The following is a 22,164-nucleotide window of genomic DNA, read 5'->3' on the forward strand; positions in this document are numbered from 1 at the left end:
CAGGCTGGTACATATTTTAATACGACTTCATCGATACTTAGGTATGTGTCCAAATAAATCATGAACCAGCGCATTAGATAAGTAACTTGGTGATTACTGAAATTCTCCATCAGGTTGTCCTCTAGTCTAAGAAAATTGTGTTTCATATTCTGTAAGCAGATGTGTTTTGAACATCTGAGGATGTGGGCTTTTGTGGCCTGTTGGGGTCTCAGAGTTTCTAGTAGAAAAAGCACGTGTGTTGACGCTGAGCCTCTGTCCCGACAAGATGATTGTGCCTGTGGAGATGTCTATGTTGTAGGCAGGTCAGAGAGAGGGTGTCACCCCTAGCAGATATGAGCTAATGCAGCAATGTTAAGAGAGGGGAATATGCTCAAAAAGTCATCTGTAAAAGGCAACACTCATTAGTGAATACAGACTTAATTCTGACTGATTATCCACACTGGTCCTCTTCTTTGGTTAATCGCTAACCACCAACTTTGTTTTCTGCCATGGTGGTCCCAACCAAAAAGTTATCAGAAAGAGTTAGGAAACAGTCAAAAGCCCTGAGTTCAGTTTCTGCCTGTGTGACCTTGGGCAAATTACCATCCCTCTGTGCTGGTTTGCTTTACAAACAATTAAAGAGCATGAGGAACTTCCCAGGATTATCCAGCTAGTAACTGGTGGAGCCAGGACTCACCCAGTGTATCCTAGTCCCAAATTAAAAACAAAGAAACAGAAGTTGGCAGTGCCCATTTACAGCCTTAGCCAGAGATGTATGGATGGCAAGTGTGGCTCAGAAGTGCATTTGGATGTTTTAGACTAAGTTAATGCCATGAATCATTGATGCTGGGTTAACCCTTTGTTCAGATATGAGGCTCACCAACCTCTGGATAGTGACTTGTCTTTCCATATCAAAGCTTTGTATTATTTGCCTCCAGGAGCATTCTGGTTTGTTGCAGACTATGTGGTACTGCTCCTAGGACATTCTAAGCTGAGGAAAAAAGCCCGAGAGCTTTTGTACTTGTTCCCTCTCTTTGAAACTCTTTGCCCAGAGCTCAAGTGGCTCAGATGTGGACTTTTCCTGTACATACCTCACTCTCTGTCTCCCGACCTTTCTTGATTGGGCCTACTTTATAAAGACACTCACTAATTACATCTGAGGGCTCCACCCTCATGAGCTAGTCACCTCACAAAAGGCCTCCCACAACCAAATATCACACTTGGGATGGGGTTTCAACATAATGAATTTGAGGGGGACACAAACGTTCAAACCATAGCACTTTCCCAACATGAAGATGATTTTTCAGTTAAGTTCTAACAATCTTTTCAGAAACAGATAATTCTCACCTTGTGCCGTTAGTTCCACAAAATAAAAAATAAAGTATCCCAACATCTTTTACGAGGCTCATATAACCTTAAATACAGAACAAGCTAAGGATAACACAAAGTATGAAAATGATGAACTTATTTCAAGTATGGATATAAATGTGTGTAAATAGAATATTAGTTAACTGAATACAAAACAGCACTTGAAAAAAACACAAGAAATACAAGGAAAGAATATCTTGCTTATATAACTCACCACAATAATGGATTAAAGGAGAAAAATCCGTTATTATTTCAATAGATGGAAAAAGACATTTGAAAAGATACCTATTTATGATTTTTAAAATTCACATAAAACTAGGGATAGAAGGACTTTCCTTAACTTGGTAAAGACTATATACCAAAAACCTGCAGCAATTATCATGCACAATGGGAAAACTATATGAACTTGAATTATGACTGGGAACAATAGGAAAAACAGGGATGTCCACCATGCTACTATCTATTACGAGAGGTCGTGGCTAGTGAAATAAGGCAAGACAAAGAAATAAGAAATGAAACTGTAATCTAATTGGAAAATTCAATAGAAATGCAAGCTAAATAAGAATTTAGCAAGGTTGTCAGACATAAAATCAGTTACCAAAATTGGTAGCATTACCTCTACATTAGCAATAGCTAATTTAAATATGTAGGAGAAGCTGGGTGTGGTGGCTCATGCCTGTAATCCTAGCGCTTTGGGAGACTAAGGTGGGAGGAGCACTTGAGCTCGGGAGCAACATAGTAGGACCTCGTCTCTACAAAAAAAAAAAAAAAATTTAAGTAGCTGGTGTGGTGGTGCATATCTGTAGTCCCAGCTAGTCAGGATGCCAAGGTGTGAGGATTGCTTGAGCCCAGAAGACCGAGCCTGCAGTGAGCCAGATTGCTCCACTGCACTCCAGCCAGGGCAACAGAGGGAGACCCTGTCTCAAAAAATAAAATAAATATAAAACAAAAATAAATAAATATGTGGTAGAAAACAAAGCACCATTTAGAAAGAAAAAAACCCTACAAATTCTCAGAATTAAACTAAAAAGACTGCACAGCATCTTTAAGGACAACATTGTAAAATAATATTTGGTTAAATAAAGATACATACTATGTTCACGGAAGAATGTCTTCACATTGTAAAACTGCTAATTTTTCCTAAATTAAGCTGTAAACTATTACCATTCCAATAAAAATTAAATTCAGAAAACCATAATATATTCTTATGGAAAAAGAACAATCCAGGAATAGCTAAGTCAGCTTGACAAGACTAAAGGGGATCTTACCTTATGCATGAAGACGTATCTCAAAGTTGCAATGGTCAAATTAGAATGGCAGTGGCAAAAGAACAGACAAATAGGCTGGGCGCAGTGGCTCACACCTGTAATCCCAGCACTTTGGGAGGCCAAGGCGGGCAGATCACAAGGTCAAGAGATTGAGACCATCCTGGCCAACATGGTGAGACCCTGTCTCTACTAAAAAAAAAAAATTAGCTGGGCGTGGTGGTGCATGTCTGCAATCCCAGCTACTCGGGAGGCTGAGATAGGAGAATCACTTGAACCTGGGAGGCAGAGGTTGCAGTGAGCTGACATCGTGCCATTGCACTCCAGCCTGGGCGACGAGAGCGAAACTCCGTCTCAAAAAACAAACAAACAAAAAACAAAACAAAACAAACAAACAAAAAACAGACAAATAGCCTGGTGGAATGGAATACAGACTCCAAACAGATCTATGTAATGGAGGTACAGGTTAACAAATCTGAAACTTCTTTTTACATATCCTGGAATTGAAAAATAAGTAAATGGATAAAGGATGGTGGGAGCCAGGCTTCACACTGTTGGAAAAGGAAGTTACATATAAGCAAAAGGGTAAGGCTAGAACGGACCCTGTGATACTGGATTAGAGTTGGAAACACCAGCATGATCTCATGTTTAGTTTAACACAGGTAGAGATGGATTGGTACAGAAATAAGTATAAATACATATTCTACCTGGGTTTGTACACAAGCATATATTTCCTAGCTCTGTTCACTGGTAGGGCCTAGAAGCAGTCACACCCCAGAAGCAATGAGCACACTCAGTGCCCAGATCTTGGTTTCTAATACCATTATCAAATAAAAGGAACCAGGGTGGGTGTGGTGGTTTATGCCTGCAATCCCAATATCTTGGGAGGCCAAGGTAGGTGGATCACCTGAGGTCAGAAGTTCGAGACCAGCTTGGCCAACATGGCAAAACCCCCATCTCTATCAAAAATACAAAAATTAGCTGGGTGTGGTGTCATGCACCCGTAATCCCCGCTACTCAGGACACTGAGGCAGGAGAATTGCTTGAACCAGGGAGGCGGAGGTTGCAGTGAGCCAAGTTTGTGCCGCTGCACTCCAGCCTGGGTGACAGAGTGAGACTCCATCTCAAAAAAAAAAAAAAAAAAAAGAGAAAAGAAAAAAGAAAAAAAAACACACAATAAAAATATAAAAATAAAAAGAACCAGGACTCCTTAGAGAAATGGCTGATTCTAGGGCTGGGACAGGGAACACATAAGGTGAGTGTGGAGTATCTTGTAGTACCAGAAAGTAAGAAATGCTTCAAAAACAAAAGAATGGAGCTATGTCAAAGAGTCACAGGAACCAACTTGAAAGAACTCCCAATGGAACAGTTTCGGTGACAAAATGAATAATATAGCATTGGATTATAACCTAGGGTAAAAAGTAAATATATGTAAGTCTATACTGATATAAAAAATGATGATCACCAGGCATGATGGCTCATGCCTGTAATCCTAGCACCTTGGGAGGCTGAGACAGGAAGATCACTGGAGCCCAGGAGTTTGGGTCCATCCTGGGCAACAGTTTAGCAAGACCTCATCTCTAAAAGAAATAATAATAATAAAATAAAAATAAATTGATTGCTAAGTAAATAAATGGGGGAGAAGAGATAAATCTTCCTTACAAAAGTAATCCAAATAATACATGTAGATACTTCCTGCTTCCAGAGGTGGAGCTTAATTCAAATACTCCTCCCCACTTCCCTAGTGTAGGTTTAGTGACCTACTTTTAAATACTGGAATATGACGAGGGAAAAATGATAACTCTATAATAGAGAAGCATGGCAAACACTACCTTATCCAAGGGATCAAAGTTAATGTCATGTATAAATCATGTTACTGTGATGTACCCCTGAAGTGATGTGATGAAGATGCTTTGCCTCTGTATATCCTTCCCGAAACCCAAAATCCCAGCCCAATTGTGTGGAAAACATCAGAGAAACCTAAATTGAGGGACAGTCTAAAAAGTACATGAGCAGTACCCTTTAAAACTGTCGAGGTCATGAAAAGCAATGAAGAACTGAAACACGACCACAGACCAGATGTGATGGGAGACACAATGATAAAATGCACTGTGGTACCCTGGACTGGACCCTGGAGCAGAAAAAGGCCAGAAGGGGAAAAACTAGTACAGCGCAAATAAAATAAAGTCTGGCGTTTAGTTAATAGTAACGTCCCAATGCTGGTTGCTTAGTTAGCAAATGTACCCTACAACCGTGAGAAATGTAAAACATCAGATGAAACTGGCTGAGAGTGTATGGAATTTTTTTCAAATGTTCTGCAAATCTAGAATCATTTCAAAATAAAAAGTGTAGTCAAGGCCAGGCACAGTGGCTCACACCTGTAATCCCAGCACTTTGGGAGGCTGAGGTGGATGGATCACTTGAGGTCAGGAGTTCGAGACCAGCTCAGCCAACATGGTGAAACCTCGTCTCTACTAAAAGTACAAAAAGTACCTGGGCGTGGTGGTACATGCCTGTAACCCCAACTACTGGGGAGACTGAGACAGGAGGATCACTTGAACCCAGGAGGTGGAGGTTGCAGTGAGCCAAGATCGTGCCACTGCACTCCAGCCTGGGCAACAAAGTGAGACCCTGTCTCAAAAAAAAGAAAGAAGGAAGGAAGGAAAGAAGAAAAGAAAGAAAGAAAAAAAGAAAGAGAAAAGTGTAGTTAAAACAAAGACCTATGCATAGATAGGAACTTTTTATTTTTAATTTTGAAACAGCTTTATTAAGGTATAACTGATATGCAGTCTAATGGCACATATTTACTGTATATGATTTGATGAATTACCTCCTGGCTCCTGGTAACCACCATTCTATTCTCTGCTTCTATGAGTTTGACTATTTTAGGTACTGCTTATGAGTCCTGTCCTTCTGTAACTGGCTTCTTTCACTCAGCAGACACCCAGAATAATTGAAATAAGGTTATTGAAGGGATATTTGCACTCCCTGTTCATTGCAGCATTATTCATAATCGCCAATTTACAGAAGCAACCTAAATGCCTATCGACAAATCAATGGGTTAAAAAAAAATGCGGTATTTAGTATACAATGAAATATTATTCAGCCTTAAAAAAAAGAAGGAAATCTTGATATTTTTGACAACATAGATGAACCTGGAGACCATTATAGAAATGTGATATGTGATCAAGACAACACCAAAATCAGTGGGAGAAGGGTGGTGTGGTAGATTACAAAATATGGTCACAAATTCCTCCCACCCTGGAATTCATGCCCCTTTGCAATTTGACTTTGCAGTTCTCATTGGGAGGTTGGGACATTTCTTCCCCTGTTGGGGAGCAATTTGGAACCACAGATCTCCAGGGGTAGCTGACTGCCAGTGTCATGATACTGTCATTATCTCTTCATTTAACATCTCCTCTCAGAGTACTCCTGGCTTGCTAGTTTAAATTGTGAAAATTTTCTGCATTAGCCTCATTTTATTTACATTCTTTGGTCTTTACTGTTCATTACTATTTAAATGTGTTAACATTTAAATGACATCTATACTGTAATTTTCCTTTGTCACTATTGAAGTCACCCTGGACTGCTAATTGCAAACATAATCGTATTTTCAGAGAGGTTTATTTTAGGCAGATTGCCCCTTAAGTTGCAGGAAGATGGAAAGAATGGCAGGCAGATCACCAAGAATACTCTGAAGATGAAGATGAATAAAGTGGGTAAGAGTGACTGGGATGGGCAGGGAATGGCAGACCCCTGAATGAGTTAGGGAGTGATCGAGCTTGAATATTTGTGCCACCCAGATCTCATATTGAATTGTAATCCCCAATGCTGGAGGTGGGGCCTGATGGTGGGTGTTTGGGTCATCAGGGTAGATCCCTCATGGCTTGGTGCAGTCTTTGAGATAGTGAGTGATTGCTCGTGAAATCTGGTCATTTAAAAGTGTGTGGCACCTCCCACACCCCAGCTCTTGTTCCTGCTTCCACCAGGTGAGATGTCTTGTCCCTCTTTGCCTTTGGCCATGAGTAAAAGCTCCCTGCAGCCTCCCTAGAAGCAGATACTGGCACTATGCTTCCTGTACAGCCTGTAGAACCAGGAGCCAATTAAACTTCTTTTCTTATAAATAACCCACCCTCTGGTATTCTTTTAGAGCAATGCAAGAACAGCCTAACACACGGAGAAAAGCCAAGGCAACCGATAGGTAAGAAAGAGCCCTCTAAGCAGAAGCTATAGCCAATGCAAAAGCACTGAGGTGGGACAGCAAAAAGGCCAGTGTGTCTGAAATGGAGGGAGGGCGATCATGGTAAAAGTGAGGCCAGTTGGAGTGGCTCATGCAGAGCCTGGTTGGACAAGGTAAAGTCTCCGTAGCATTTGAATTGTCTGGATTTGCCATTCCCAAACTGGGCACCAAAGTGCCCAAAGCACCACATTGCCTTGGAATGTTTTCAAAAGTTGAGGGAAATCCATCAATTCTTGACATCTGTTCATTACCAGGCAAACTACTGGCTCAAGGTAGTTCATAGATTCAACATTAGATTGTGCTAGTTTCCAGCTGGGTGCAGTGGCACACGCCTATAATCGCAGCACTTTGGGAGGCTGAGGCTAGCAGATCACCTGAGGTCAGGAATTCAAGACCAGCCTGGCCAACATTGTGAAACCCCATCTCTACCAAAAAAACACAAAAATTAGCCAGGCGTGGTGGCAGGCACCTGTAATCCCAGCTACTCAGGAGGCCGAGGCAGGGAGAATTGCTTGAACCTGGGAGGCAGAGGTTGCAGTGAGCTGAGATCGTGCCATTGCACTCCAGCCTGGCAACAGAGTGAGACGCCATCTCAAAAAAAAAAAAAAAGATTGTGCTACTTTGGAAGAAGAGATGAAGAGATGAGTTCACAGCTTTGCAACGCTGGGTTTCCGGGGCTTACCATGATGAAAAGCATCAGCCAAGTGTGGCGGTGCCTGCCTGTAGTCCTAGCTACTTTGGAGGCAGAGGCAGGAGGATCACTTGAGCCCATGAGTTCGAGGTTGTAGTGAGCTTATCGAGACACTGTACTCTGGTCTGGGGAACAGAGGAAGAACCTCTCTCTAAAAAAAAAAAAAAAAAAAAAAAAAAAGAGCAAGCACCAAGCTGAAATCAACACGGGTCAAGAAATGATAGTGTGGTATCCAATCTGATTTCAAGGTTGAAGAAATAGTGACATGTCCAACGGGCACACACACCCCATTCGAAATTATCTGTGCTTATTTAAGAATAAAGGAGGACTGGCCATGGTGGCTCATGCCTCTAATCCCAGCACTTTGGGAGGCCAAGGCGGGCGGATAATCTGAGGTGAGGACAGTCAGCCTGGCCAACATGGTGAAAGCCCATCTCTACTAAAAATACGAAAGTTAGCTGGGAGTGGTGGCAAGCGCCTGTAGTCCCAGCTACTCGGGATGCTGAGGCAGGAGAATCGCTTGAACCCAGGAGGCGGGGGTTGCAGGGATCACACCATTGCACTCTAGCCTGGGAGACAGAGGGAGACTCTGTTTAAAAAAGAAAAAAGAAAGAATAAAAGAAAACATTTTTATTTCCATCATATGTATTTACGTATATATGTAAACTGCTTCTTTATTATTAGAACACAAATACTTATGTTGTTTGGACATAGCTATTTAATAAACTTAACAGTTTAGGTTTGGGTTTTGTCCTGGAGCACTTGAAAAATTATTGAGACACTAAAGGTGCCATGAACTGAGAAAGATTGAGAACTTCTGGTCTATACCTTTGATCAGAGCTCACTTTTATTAATTCTAAATTCCCTTTGCGGACTTTGATTCTTTTTTTTTTTTTTTTTTTTTTTTTTGGCAGCCTTAAGCTTTCCCTTGAGAATGAAAATTTAAAACTTGTAAATTTTTTGTACACCCATGTTCATAGCAGCATTACTCACAATAGCCAAAAGGTGGAAGCCATCCGTGTCCATCAATGGATGAATGGATACACAAAATGTGGTATATACGTACCATGGAGTATTTTTCAGTCTTAAAAAGGGATAAAATTCTCACAACCTTGAAAACATTATGCTAAGTGAAATAAGCTAGGCACAAAAGGACAAATACTGTATAATTCCACTTATATGAGGTACCCACGGTAGTCAAATTCATAGAGACAGAAAGTGAAGGCCGGGCACGGTGGCTCATGCCTGTAATCCCAGCACTTTGGGAGGCTGAGGCGGGTAGATCACCTCAGGTCGGGTGTTTGAGACCAGCCTGACCAACGTGGAAAAACCCCGTCTCTACTAAAAATACAAAATAAGCCGGGCATGGTGGCTCATGCGTGTAATCCCAGCTGCTCGGGAGGCTGAAGCAGGAGAATCGCTTGAACCTCGGAGGCGGAGGTTGTGGTGAGCCGAGATCACGCCATTGCACTCCAGCCTGGGCAACAAGAACAAAACTCTGTCTTAAAAAAAAAAGAAAAAACAAACAAGAAAGTGAAATGGTGGTTGTCAGGGGCTAGGAGAGAGGGGAATGGAGAGTTAGTGTTTAAATGGATGCAGTGACTCAATATTGGAAGATGAAGAGATCTGGAGATGGAAGTTGATGATGACTGCACAACAATGTGAACGTACTTAATGTTACTGAACTTTACAGTTAAGATGGCTAATATGGTAAAGTTCATGTTACGTATATTTCACCATAATAAAAATACATTTTTGAAATTCATGGACCACACTCATCACTCCTAAAACATAAATTAAGATTCCCACCTACAGAGGGCGCCATTGACAGTCCTAGTGGCATTCGGGGGTTGGGTGTGCAGGACCCACAACTGCCTGAAGCTCCAGCCTTCTCCTTCCCCAGCCAGCTGCCTGTGCAACAGTCCTCAGCCTCCCCCACCTCTCCCTCACCCTTCTGAGACTTTTGCTGAGGTTTTTGTTTTGCTTGTTTTTTTAAAACTGCTGCCGATCAAGGGGAAACAGACTGGGCATATCCGTGACTACCCCTCTCTTTTCTTCCTTCTAGGAGAGACAAAGTCACTAGAAAAGCTAATGTGGTACCTACATACAACAAGATATCATTCAACCTCAGGAAGGAAGGATATTCTGACACATGCTACAACAACAGGGATGCACCCTGAGGTCATTATGCTAAGTGAAATAAGCCAATTAATCCTGTATGATTCTGCTGATAGGAGGTACCCAGAGAAGTCAAATCCATAAAGACAGAAGTAGAATGGTGGCTGCCAGGGCTGGGGAGAGGTGGGGATGGGGAGTTGGTGTTTAATGGGTACAGAGTTTCAGTTTAGCAAAATAAAAAGAGTTCTGTGGATACGGGGTGGTGATGGCTGCACAAGAATGTGAATGTACTTAATATCACTGAACTGTACACTTAGAAATGGTTAAAATGGGCCAGGCACAGTGCCTCACACCTGTAATCCCAGCACTTTGGGAGGCTGAGGCGGGCAGATCTCTTGAGGTCAGTAGTTCGAGACGAGCCTGGCCAACATGGTAAAACCCTGTCTCTACTAAGAATACAAAAATCAGCTAGGCATGGTGGCAGCACCTGTAGTCCCAGCTACCCAGGAGGATGAGGCAGGAAAATCACTTGAACCCAGGAGGTGGAGGGTGCAGTGAGCCCAGATCATGCCACTGCACTCCAGCCTGGGCTACAAAGTGAAACTCTGTCTCAAAAAAAAAAAAAAGGTTAAAATGATAAATTTTATGTTATGTATATTTTACCACAATAAAAATATTTATATATAAATTTGTGTATTTATATATACATATATACTTATGTATATTTATATATGCATATATAAAAATATCTATATTTTACCACTATAAAATATTTTTAAAAGAAAAATGATTTTTTCTTTTTGGATGTGTGTGTGTGTGTGTGTGTGTGTGTGTGATATCAGGTCCTTGAGGACTTGAAAAGCTCAAATCAGATTTGGCTGGCATTTCAGAAGAAAGCCAGGCCTCCAAAACTCAGGTGTGTCACAGAGGGCTCAGGGACAGGGATGCTGCTGAGCAGAGGAAAAGGATGAGGGAGTGAGCCTGGCCTAAGGAGGCCAACAGAGTGGGCCAGAGGTGGGGAGGGAAGAGGGTATTCAAAAACCAGGGTTGAGGAGAGTGTCCCAGCCAGTTCACAGGAAGAAGAAAAAAGTTCTGGTGGAAAAGCCATTCCAGTATCCCACTAGAGCAGCGGTCCCCACCCTTTTTGGCTCCAGTGACCAGTTTCTTTCATTCTCTTTTTTTTTTTTTTTTTTTTTTTTTTGGAGATGGAGTTTTGTTCTGTCATCCAGGCTGGAGTGCAGTGGCGTGATCTTGGCTCACTGCAACCTCTGCTTCCTGGGTCCAAGCGATTCTCCTTCCTCAGCCCAAGTAGCTAGGACTACAGGTGCCTGCCACCACACCCAGCTAATTTTGTATTTTCAGTTTTCACAACGTTGCCTAGGCTGGTCTTGAACTCCTAGTCTCAGGTGATCCATCTGCCTCGGCCTCCCAAAGTGCCGGAATTACAGGCATGAGCCACTGTGCCGAACATGGGGACCAGTTTTGTGTAAGACAATTTTTCCAAAGATGGGGGTTGGGGGGATGGTTTGGGGATGATTCGAGTGCATTACATTTATTGTGCACTTTATTTCTGTTATTATTACATTGTAACATATAATGAAATAATTACACAACTAACTATAATGTAGAATTAGTGGGAGCCCTGAGCTTGTTTTCCTGCAACTAGATGGTCCCATCTGGGGGTGATGGGAGACAGTGACAGGTCATCAGGCATTAGATTCTTGTAAGGAGCATGCAACCTAGATCCCTCACATGTGCGGTTCACAAATAGGGTTCACATTCCCATGTCACTCCTTCACTCCAGTCAAGGAGGCAGAGGCCAGGCAGTAATGTGAGCCATGGGGAGTGGCTGTAAATACAGATGAAGCTTCTCTCACTTCTCTCACCAGTATGGTGGCCCAAGGCTGGAGACCCCTGCACTAGAAGATCAGGGCTGCTGTCACTCAAAGGAACAAGGTGGAAACTGTTTCCACCTAAGAGTTCAAATTAAAACCAAACACGGTGGCTCACACCTGTAATCCCAGCACTTTGGGAGGCCAAGGCAGGTGGATCACTTGAGCTCAGGAGTTTGAGATCAGCCTGGGCAACATAGCGAGATCTCATCTCTACTAAACATTTTTTTAAAATATTAGCCAGGTGTGGTGGTGTACGCCTGTGGTCCCAGCCACTCAGGAGGCTGAGGCAGGAGGATCGCTTGAGCCCGGAAGGCTGAGACAGCAGTGAGCTGTGATTGTGCCACTGTACTCGAGCCTGGGCGACAGAGTGAGTGAGACTGTCTCAAAAACAAAAAAACAAAATTTAAAAAATAAATTAAAACCAAACACTATCTTATACCCAATAAAAAATAATATGCAAAGTCCATAAAATGATTATATTTATTGTCATGGCTACCCATGTGCCCATGTGTGAAGCTTCTACTCTGACTGGCTCCTTTTTTTTTTTTTTTTTTTTTTTTTTTTTTTTTTTTGAGATGAAGCCTCCCTCTGTTGCCCAGACTGGAGTGCAATGGCATGGTCTTGGCTCACTGCAACTTCCGCCTCGTAGGTTCAAGCAATTCTCCTGCCTCAGCCTCCCGAGTAGGTGGGACTACAGGCACGCACCACCATGCCCAGCTGATTTTTGTGTTTTTATTAGAGACAGAGTTTCACCATGTTAGCCAGGCTGGTCTCAAACTCCTGACCTCAGGTGATCCACCTGCCTCGACCTCCCAAAGTGCTGGGATTACAGGCATGAGCCACCACACCTGGTCCCGACTGGCTCTTCAGGCTCTAAACTCCACCACAATCCACAACACAAGTACCAGTCATGGCAGAGATGGGATTTGCATCTTTGAGCTCTGACCACAGAGCCCACACCAATAACGACTGCCCTAAAGCGTGACCAGGCAAGCTTGGTTTAGCAGAACCAGAGCTGCTGCTTTCCAACGTTCTAGGGAGTTTCCTTCCTTTAGCACACTTTCCTTAATGATGGCAGAGCACTAGGTTGGAAGAGTGCCTGGTGCCCGGAAGGAAGGGAAGAGCAGTAAGGAGGGTGGAGAGAGGGAGTAGGGGTTTCTGCCCTTTGTTCCCAGCTACAGCCCAGGCTGGCCCGGCTCCCTGTAGCATTTGCTGAAGGCAGCAGATCACTGGCACCTCAGGCCTTCTGTTGAAAGCAGCACCTTCCTGCCTCCCTCGATGGGGAAAAAGGCACCTGCTTTCTCCAGGATGAAATCCATGGTGTCCCCCAGAAACTGAGTGTGCCACTTAGAACACTTGGGAATTCCCACACTGAAAAATTCCCTTTTTTTTTTTTTGGAGACTGAGTCTTGCCCTGTCACCCAGGCTGGAGTACAATGACACGATCTCAGCTCACTGCAATCTCCACCTCCCAGGTTCAAGCGATTCTCCTTCCTCAGCCTCCCAAGTAGCTGGAACTACAGGTGCATGCAACTATGCCTGGCTAATTTTAATTTTTGTATTTTTTTGTACAGATGGGGTTTCCCAATGTCGGCCAGTCTGGTCTTGAACTCCTGACCTCAAGTGATCCTCCCGCCTTGGCCTAAAAGTGCTGGGATTACAGGCCTGATACCCACTGCACTCGGCCTTGAAAATTTCCCATGGATCTGAATTCAGTCCTTCACAACGCTTCAAAAACTTCCAAGAGTTTGCACGTGCTGCATTCTTCTTTTACAAAGACAATGATTCACATATAAACTGATAGCATATGCAAAAGGTGAGAATACATAATTAAGAAAACACTCAGGAATGAAAAGAATCAGTATAGATTTAGCCTGATTTTTTTGAAATCCTACATCTATTTTAAATAGGTTATGGGTTTTTAGAGTCAAAATGGATTTTAGCATTCATTTTTTTCATTTTGCAAATGTGAAAAAGTGAGAGACAGGCGAGTCAAGTGCCTCTGTGGGTTCCTCTGTCTCAGTGGCAGAGCTGGGACTTGACCTGAGGTCTCCTGAGTGGCTATTTGAATATAGGTTGACACTATTGGATGAGATGCCTTTGACCTCGGATGGGCTGTCAGTACAGACATCAGTTGACTGCTGTGCACATATTCTTAAAGACCTCCTTCTGGCCGGGCACAGTAGCTCATGCCTGTAATCCCAGACTTTGGGAGGCCGAGGCGGGCAGATCAGGAGGTCAGGAGTTAGAGACCAGCCTGACCAACATGGTGAAACCGTATCTCTACTAAAAATATAAAAATTAGCTGGGCATGGTGGCACATGCCTGTAACCCCAGCTACTAAGGAGGCTGAGGCAAGAGAATCACTTGAACCCAGAAGGTGGAGGTTGCAGTGAGCCGAGATCGCACCACTGCACTCCAGCCTGGGTGACAGAGCGAGACTCCATCTCAAAAAACAAAACAAAACAAAAACCTCCTTCTGCAGGCTTTGGGGCCACACCTTCCCACACAACTTTTCTAGTGCACTGTGGCTTTTGCAGTTCTGACCAAGCAGGCTCCTTGCTATTGATGCGGCTCTGTGGTGCCAGCTCTAGAAACAAACTACCATTTGTTGCTTTCTAAAAAAAAGCCTTTTAAGCTCCAGACGACATTGGGCCTCTCTCTCCTGAGCTGAAAGGTTGGTTTCTTTGAGGTTTCCAAATGGCAGCTTATGTCTTCTCAGAAGGGCTACAGCCCATTTGTTGGAAGCCAAAAACCTTACCTCAATGGCCCAGGTGAGAGGACATGGCTCAGGGTTGCAGTCTGAGTGTGAAGCACATAAACATCTCCCATAATAGGCTTGGTGGCTGGGCCTGGTGGCTCAAGCCTGTAATCACGGCACTATGGGAGGCCGAGGTGGGTGGATCACCTGAGGTCAGGAGTTCAAGACCGGCCCAGCCAACAAGGTGAAACCCTGTCGCTACTAAAAATACAAAAGAAAAAGAAGAAGAAGAAAAAAAATTTGCTGGGTGTGGTGGTGCACACCTGTCATCCCAGCTACTTGGGAGGCTAAGTCAGGAGAATCACTTGAACCCAGGAGGCGGAGATATCAGTGAGCCAAGATCGTGCCACTGCACTCCAGCTTGGGCAACAGAGCAAGACTCCACCTAAAGAAAAAATAAATAGGCTTGGATATGGCAGAGGGTGAGAGACAAGTAGCTAGGATCTCAAGGAAGAAGGAAAATAGAGATGTAACATGGAGCTGAAAAGAAGGTGCAGGAATTGCTTTAAAAGAAAACAAAGAGACAGAAAGTAAGACGTGTAATTTACAATGTCCTGTAAAGGTTGCCTCTTGCACACATGGACTGAATGCTGTGACTACAGAGGCACTTTTCAAACTAGTACAAGAAGGAACAAGATTGCCCAATGGTGCCATCACTTAGAAAAGAACCCTTTATTTTACCTCCACCTAATTGCTGTGCCTTTGCAGTATAAGAGGGCTTCAAGTCTTGGTTCGGACGGTCAGTATGACTCTGTGCCCTCAGTCTCCCCATCTGAGAAATGAAGATTCCTGTTGTACCTGGGCCAGCTTCATATGACCTGAGCAATCACTCAGGGCCCTGTGTTCAAAGCATTAAACTATGCTTGGTTTAATGCTCTGCTATTATCATCCTGGAATTCTTAATAATCCTTGAACGAGGGGCCCCACATTTTCGTTTTGCACTGGGCAAGTAAATGACGTAGTTAGCCTAGTTAGTACCTATCTCAAAGGGTTGTTGTGAGTATTAATATTTTGGAAACACTTTATTATTTGGCACACCAGTCATCATTCACTTTAATTCCAGCTCCCATAACTGTGTTGAAATACCAAGTGGCTATGACTGTTTTTATTATTCAAATTCCATCATAGTAGAAAGCATTTAAGGAAAACTGCCTCGGTGGAAAAGATTATTTCTCTCCAGACCCCAGATTGATTTTACACTGTTCATCCCTCTTTGAAACATATATTCCTTTTCCCACTTTTCCGTCCTATGAGTTGTTATAGTGCCTCAGAGTTAAGGTATTTGACCTACAAAGCTCTTAGAAAAGTGTGGGGTCCAGAGAGAAAGATAACTGAGCAATTCAGTTTTCTCGCAAGATTCCAAAATTCTTAAAGAGATCAGATTAGGACCAAAATCTTCTGATTTAACAGTGAGGGGCTAAGGGACAAAACAGAGGGAAGCCAGGGAGACGTCCTTCAGACCCTCTCATAGCCCACGACTGCCCGGTCGCATTGTGCTGTCCATCTGCCTTCTAAACATCCTTCCATTGTGGCCGCTTCTCCTCTTCTTTCTGGGTGTACAGCGAGCACATCAGCCCAAGCACAGCCATAAACCCCTGACTGCACTCTCTCCCTCACCACGGCCATCTCCCCAGACCCACTTTTCTTTTTTGAGACGGAGTCTCGCTCTGTCTTGCCCAGGCTGGAGTGCAGTGGTGCAACCTTGGCTCACTGCAGCCTCTGCCTCCCGGGTTCAAGCAATACTCCTGCCTCAGCCTCCCGAGTAGGTGGGACTACAAGCGTGTGCCGCCATACCTGGCTAATATTGTATTTTTAGTAGAGATGGGGTTTCACCGTGTGGGTCAGGCTGGTCTTGAACTCCTGACCTCAGGTGATCCACCCACCTCGGCCTCCCAAAGTGCTGGGATTACAGGCACCAGCCACTGCAGCCGGCCACATGCCATATATTGTTTATCCATTCATCCACTGAGGTTCTTCCATCTGTCAGCTCTTCTAAATAATGCTGCAAGGAATATTGGTGCATAAGTATCTGTTTGAGTCTGTCTCTGCTTTTAGTTATTTGGCACACATACTTCCAGGGCCTGCTTTTGACTCCTCCAGTCCATTTGCACTCAGCAGCCGAGAAGGACTTTTTACCAACACACATCCAATCACATCACTTTTGTACTTACAGTTCTTTGCTGGCTTAAGATAAAAGACGGAAATTCTCACCAAAGTCTCCAGGGCCCTGAGCTCTGGCCTGCCTACCTCCAAGTCCCCTGGCTCTTCCCTTTGCTCTGCTCCAGCTGTCTAGACTTTTCCCCATCCTTCAAGACAGCCATGCTCCTTTTGGATTTCAACATGCTGGTCCCTTTTTCTAAAATGTTCATCCTCCCGCAACACCCGGGTTTTGCTAGTTTTTGCTTGGCCAATTCATCCTCTAGCTTTCTCATCCATCTTGCCTTAAAATGCTCCTGAATATCTCCCTTCCTCCCTCGGGCTCAGCTCCTTCATTCCTCGCTTCTGCTCCCATGGTTCCTGTCTTTCGTGACTGTCCGTTCACGGGGCATTATTTTCCAATGTCTGTCTTCCCTGCTGTAATAGTAACTGTATGCATTCATCCACTGGAGTTGCTTCCATCTTTTGGCCATCATAAATAATGCTGCAATGAATATTGGTGTGTAAGTATGTTTGAGTTTCTGCTTTACCAGGTAAGAAAGCCTGGGGATGCTGTCACAGTGAGTAACAGTGCCCACTTAGACATTTGGAAGCCAGTGCAGACCCACAGGGCAGTGCTGCCCACTCCCAGGACTCGGGAGCATGGCTGCCTCCCTGTGCCAACACTGTCAGTCACTAGCGCAGAACCTGGCACACGTTGGTACCAATTCATATCTAAACTGGATGAATGAACAGACAGAATGGAAAGTACAGGAGGGACCCGAGTTTTGGACAAACATTACTTACCCTGTGGCTCCTAAGTGCTGGGCATCCTTACCCACACTCCCAGCTTCAGTTTCCCTAACCTAGAGAGCGCACACTAATATTTATGTTCAAATGTTATTGGGGAGGTTGAGTTTTTATTTAATATTTGAATGTAGATTTTAAAAATCATTATGCCAGACAGGCTGGGCCTCACTCGATAAACACTGATGTTTAGCATTTAACACACTTTTCCCCAGACTGGAAGAAGAGGCCGAGATCCCAATTCGGTGACCCAGCCCTTGCTGGAGTACTAGGTGGTATCTAATGCCATCCACCCTTCCGGGATCTTTACGGCCCACCTCTGAGTGGGTCCCACGGGGACCCTCAGCCGCATTTTCTTTCTGCAGGCCTCCCTGCACACTCTGGGGCGTTCGCAGCTCTGGAGCCCGCGGGGCAGTGCGTCCGGCCCCGCCCTGGGCCTCATTATCTACGTTTCCGCGTCACGCCCGCCGCGAACTTGGCAGGCCCTCCCGCCGGGTTCGGGAACACTGTGTGCCTAGCGCCCGCCCTCCTCCCTTCCGCCGGCCCCGCGCGATCCATAGGGTTTGGGTCGCTGGGCGCCAGGTACCCGCACCCGGCAAGCAGCCACGGAGCCCCTCGCGCACTTGTCCTCGATACCCTTGAGTTGGGGCTACGCAGGCCACTCCTAGGCCACTGGCTGGGCGTCCGAACGTGGGTCACCCCGCGCACAGTCTAGAGGTTCAGAAAGATGCTGTGGCCCACTTTAAAACAAAGCCCAATTATTAGCGCTCGGCGGCTGTTTGCGCCGGTGCAGTGTCAGATCCCCCAGCGCTGCGGACAACCAGCACCCAAAGGAAGCCGAGCTGGAGCTAAAGATCCCGGCTCCGGAGCCATCTGACCGGTTTTGAGACCTCCAGCTCGTCGCCGTCCTGGCTGCGAGAGCTTGGGCACGGCGCCGGGGCTCAGTCTCCTCTTCTGTGGAATGGCGATAACTGTATGTGCCGGGTGACTGCACGTGGCGCGCGGCGGGTGGCGGGGATGGCAGCGGTGCGATCCCACGCCTCCAGGACCCCACCTTCCTGCGGCCCCCGATCGGCCCCGCCCCGGGGGCGCCCCAGCTGCACGCGCGGCGCTGGCTCCAAAGTGCGTCACGGGCACCGGCCGCGCTCCTTCTGCCGCCAGGGCGAGGCTGGCACCCGGCCAGCGCGGGCAGGGCCACGGGTGCCCGGCTGTTTCCCGGGTGTGGAAGGCGCTCAAGGTGCGCGGCCCGGGGCGCGCTACTGGGGGCGCCCTCCGCGGTGGGCAGCGCGCCAGGGATCGGCCTGGGCAGCCGCGGGGCGCGCGAAGGCTGCGCTTTCCCTACGGCCCCCCTCGCTTCCTCCGGCACGGCGGCAACGGAGATTTCCTCTCGGGGAAACTACGCGGATCCTTTTCGGGGATCCTCGCCCCGCCCCAGTTCTCCGCCCCCTCCCCTTTGCTGGGGCGCCTGGGCTGGCCCGCGCAGGGGAGGAGGCTCTGGCAGCCTGGGCAGGGAGGCGGCGGGGGGCCGCGGAGCCGCTGGCCATCGATTCTCCCCGCCATGTGACGCCGTCCTTAGCCCTGCGACCCCCAGCGCGTCCCGGGCCTGCGCCTCCGCCCCGCCGCGCAGCGCACGATGCTTCTGCCGGGACGCGCACGCCAACCGCCGACGCCCCAGCCCGTGCAGCATCCCGGCCTCCGCCGGCAGGTAGAGCCGCCGGGGCAGCTCCTGCGCCTCTTCTACTGCACTGTCCTGGTCTGCTCCAAAGAGATCTCAGCGCTCACCGACTTCTCTGGTAAGAGCGCCCTCCCTGGCTGTGTGCCCCCGGCACCGCGGAGCGCCCAGGTGAACCCTCGACTGGGGGCAGCCGCACCAGTGGACACGGCGGGGTAGGATTAAAGTTGAGGCGTGCTCACAGACACTTGTCTGGTGTGAGCCCTTGGCATATAGATGGCTGCGAGTGAAGTGGCGACGGGGGACTGCCACTCCCAAGAAGGAAGGGTGTGTAATGTATTCAGAGTTTCTCGCCCTGCTGTTGACCTCGTCAATTTCCTAGCATTAGGGACCTGGTCCTGAGCCACGCTCGTTCTATGGAGGCTCCTTAAACTGAGCCCTGTGCCGCGCCCAGCGCTGTAAAATACACGTGTTGTGGTCGGAGGCGTTGCGCCGCGTTTGTCACCCGCGTAGCCCGTTTGCCCATGTAAGGAGACTAGCCCAGGGGACACTTGACCTCGAGTCCACATTGGCAGGTAGAAAGGGAAGCCCGCGGGGACTGGAGGTCTGGTGGAAAGGCAGTGAGGGATGAGGAGATACTTAGATAAGAGAGAGGAGCCTCTCTGCCAAAGTGTACCAGGGTCCTCCCTCTCCAATTCCAGTTTCCTTCACAGAAAATAATGACTTCCTACTCTCGAATAAACTAGGAGGCTTTTCTTTTTGGGAATCGTGATCCAGGCTCTCGCAGCGGATCTCAGATAGTTCTGAGCTTACAGGTGTGACGCCCCAAAGTGAAAGGGATTTCTAGGTTGACGATAGCCATAGGAGCACATGCTTAAGTTAGCGCTGCAGTTGCTTAAGGTAACACATGTCCTTGCCGCTGAAGCACACCTGGATCTCCCTCTGGCAAGGCTGGAGGCCTTCAGCCTTCCCCAGCCCAGCTTAGGGAGCAGCTCTGAGCCCCATACTCCTCCTTCTCCAGGGATCTTCTGCCAAGTTCAGGCTTTGCACAGTCGGTCCCTATCGGGTCCTCAGTGCAGAGTCTTTTGCAACATAATGGTGGTAAAGGGAGTCCTCCTCAGTCCTGTTTGTGCAGTAGGCTAGTACATAGCAAAGAACAAGGGCAAACCAGAAGTTGAGATGGGGTTCTAGTTTACTTACAGAGAATGTCATTGTTAGTGGAGAGCCCTTAGGTCAGAGGTTCTTTGCTTTGAATATGTAATATCAAGGCAGTATTCCTACCTAGCAAAGGAAGCCAAGATAAGGCCTATTTGGCAAGCCACCCACGGCCCTTAAAATCAAGCATCCCAGGATCAGAACTCTGTGGTAAGAGTTGTGGGGAAATGCATCAGACTTTTCAAGGGCTATTAACTTTTTTTTTTGTACTACTAGAACTTTCTTGGCTGCTAGAAAAGCTCTGTATTAGCTGATTTGAGCTATGGAAAGCAGTTCTGAGTTCAGCCACCATCTAGCTCTGAATTCTAAGGAAATAATTGAAAACTGACAAGCCTTTTTGTGTTTGTGACATCATTGCAACTGAACAAATATTGCTTTAGGCAAATTGCAGTGTAACCATTAGATTGTTTTCACAGATTATAGACACTTAGAGTTCTGTTGCTTTAGGGAAGCAGTTGCAATACTTGTAACAGTCTATAGATTACCACCCAAGTTTGGAATTGTCTGTATCTAGCAACTGTTACATACAGTGGAGTTGAGCTATCAACTCCTTAGTAAAATGAATGATTTGATACATGTTATTCTAAATAGTATAAATGATAAAAGGCATTTTCTTCTGCTTTCCATACGAACCTAAATTCCAGGGTTTCAAACTCCCTGAGCCAGCAGTAGGTGGTGATATTGCCACCCACAACGAGCCCCCATTTTTCCTCTCATCAGTGATGCTCTCCAGAGATCTGAAGATTAGGCAGAACATGTCAGAAGCCTTTTGGGGAGAAGAAAGGAAATATAATGTCCTCCCAAACCACTGATGCACTTAAATTTAAACCTTAATTCTATATCATGTGAGGTCAGGGAAATATTAGAAAAATCTCAGGGAGAAAGAAAGATCATCTTCCAAAGTTGGCTCATTTGACTTGGATTTTAGCCGCCCTCCCTCTGCAAATTCCTAAGCTCCAAAGATGACCATCTTATTGTTCGGTTCAGTGTTTCAGCTGACGCGAACCCCATGTGGCCTCAAAGCTTGCCGCCTGTGTTCCTGGGACAGTCGGTCCTGTTCCTTTTTATGAACTTGAAGGAGTGCATAGAAACCAAAACTGAGGCCTGGAAGGAGACAGTGGATCCTCCCCTGCAGAGCCTGATCACAATAACCAGGGCTAGAGAGCAGTGTTTGACAATGCAGATACTTGCCTGTTTTTCTAAATAAAGGGAACATCAAAAACTAGCAGAGGATAGAGGAAACTTGGGATCCCTCTGCCCTGTGAAGGAGGAGGGAGGATGGTGTATCCATGTGAAAGAAAGTGCCAGAATGTCAGGGGTCCCAGCCATTGTCTGTACAATATAGGCCCCTTTCTCCCCCCAGGAGATTAGCAGTGCAGAGTTTTGGAAAGTTCCTTAAGCCTTTCTCTTCTTTGCGGCTCTTCCTTGAGCCTTTTCCTGGGGCTGTCAGCTGGTGTCGTTTTCCTGGGTCATTGATTTTTTTTTGCCCTCAGGGATTCCAGCATCGATCTCACTCTTAATAAGCCAGAGGCAGCATCATGGCCCCCTCCTCCTCCCTGTCCATGCTCGTGACTTGTTCTAATCACCTCCAAGCTTGCTAGTAAACAGGCTCCCCAAACACCGCCTTCTCTCTCATCTCCAAAGATTTTGAGATGTCGCCAGCGGCCACTGGAAGGCTATCATCACTGCATTAAAAATGAATCCCAGCGAAGGCAAGAGAAGTTCATGCAAAATTAGTGCCTCTGATCCTTAATCTCATACTCAAATGTGCTTGGCTTTCATCCACTTTCCTCTTTGGGATAGAGTTCTCTTCATTTGACTGCATTCTCAAATTGAGGATTTGGCTTGAGACGTCTAAATTCATCATTGACTTAAAAAACAAAACAAACCCCAGAAGTATAATGCTATGCCCATAGTTCTTTGTTCAGAGAACAAGACAGGGAGCTGGAGCTTGAGGATGAGTGCTGAGAGGAGGGAGGGGTGCCCTCTTGAGTAGCAGCCATAAAAAGCAAGGGAT

At 46.1% G+C, this 22,164-nt stretch overlaps 1 protein-coding gene across 16 annotated transcripts in view; it reads left to right on the plus strand.

Annotated features, from left to right (window-relative positions):
* Window positions 1-17,762: 17,762 nt before the first annotated feature.
* EVA1C (eva-1 homolog C) overlaps window positions 17,763-22,164 on the plus strand; it is a 103,665-nt gene continuing 99,263 nt past the window's right edge. For 14 of the 16 annotated variants that reach the window (NR_135467.2, NR_104472.2, XR_001754885.2 and 11 more), the window contains exon 1: window positions 18,746-19,053. Coding sequence is in view for 11 of the 16 variants with exons in the window: in NM_058187.5 (NP_478067.2) it covers window positions 18,894-19,053 (160 nt within the window). In the remaining 5 variants the exon portion in view is untranslated. Of the gene's footprint in view, window positions 18,234-18,745; window positions 19,054-22,164 lie in introns of those variants that run through there. The other 2 variants (XM_017028420.2, NM_001320745.2) reach the window with 1 other exon arrangement.

Source organism: Homo sapiens, chromosome 21 (genome assembly GCF_000001405.40).
Source record: "Homo sapiens chromosome 21, GRCh38.p14 Primary Assembly".
NCBI classification, from domain to species: domain Eukaryota; kingdom Metazoa; phylum Chordata; class Mammalia; order Primates; family Hominidae; genus Homo; species Homo sapiens.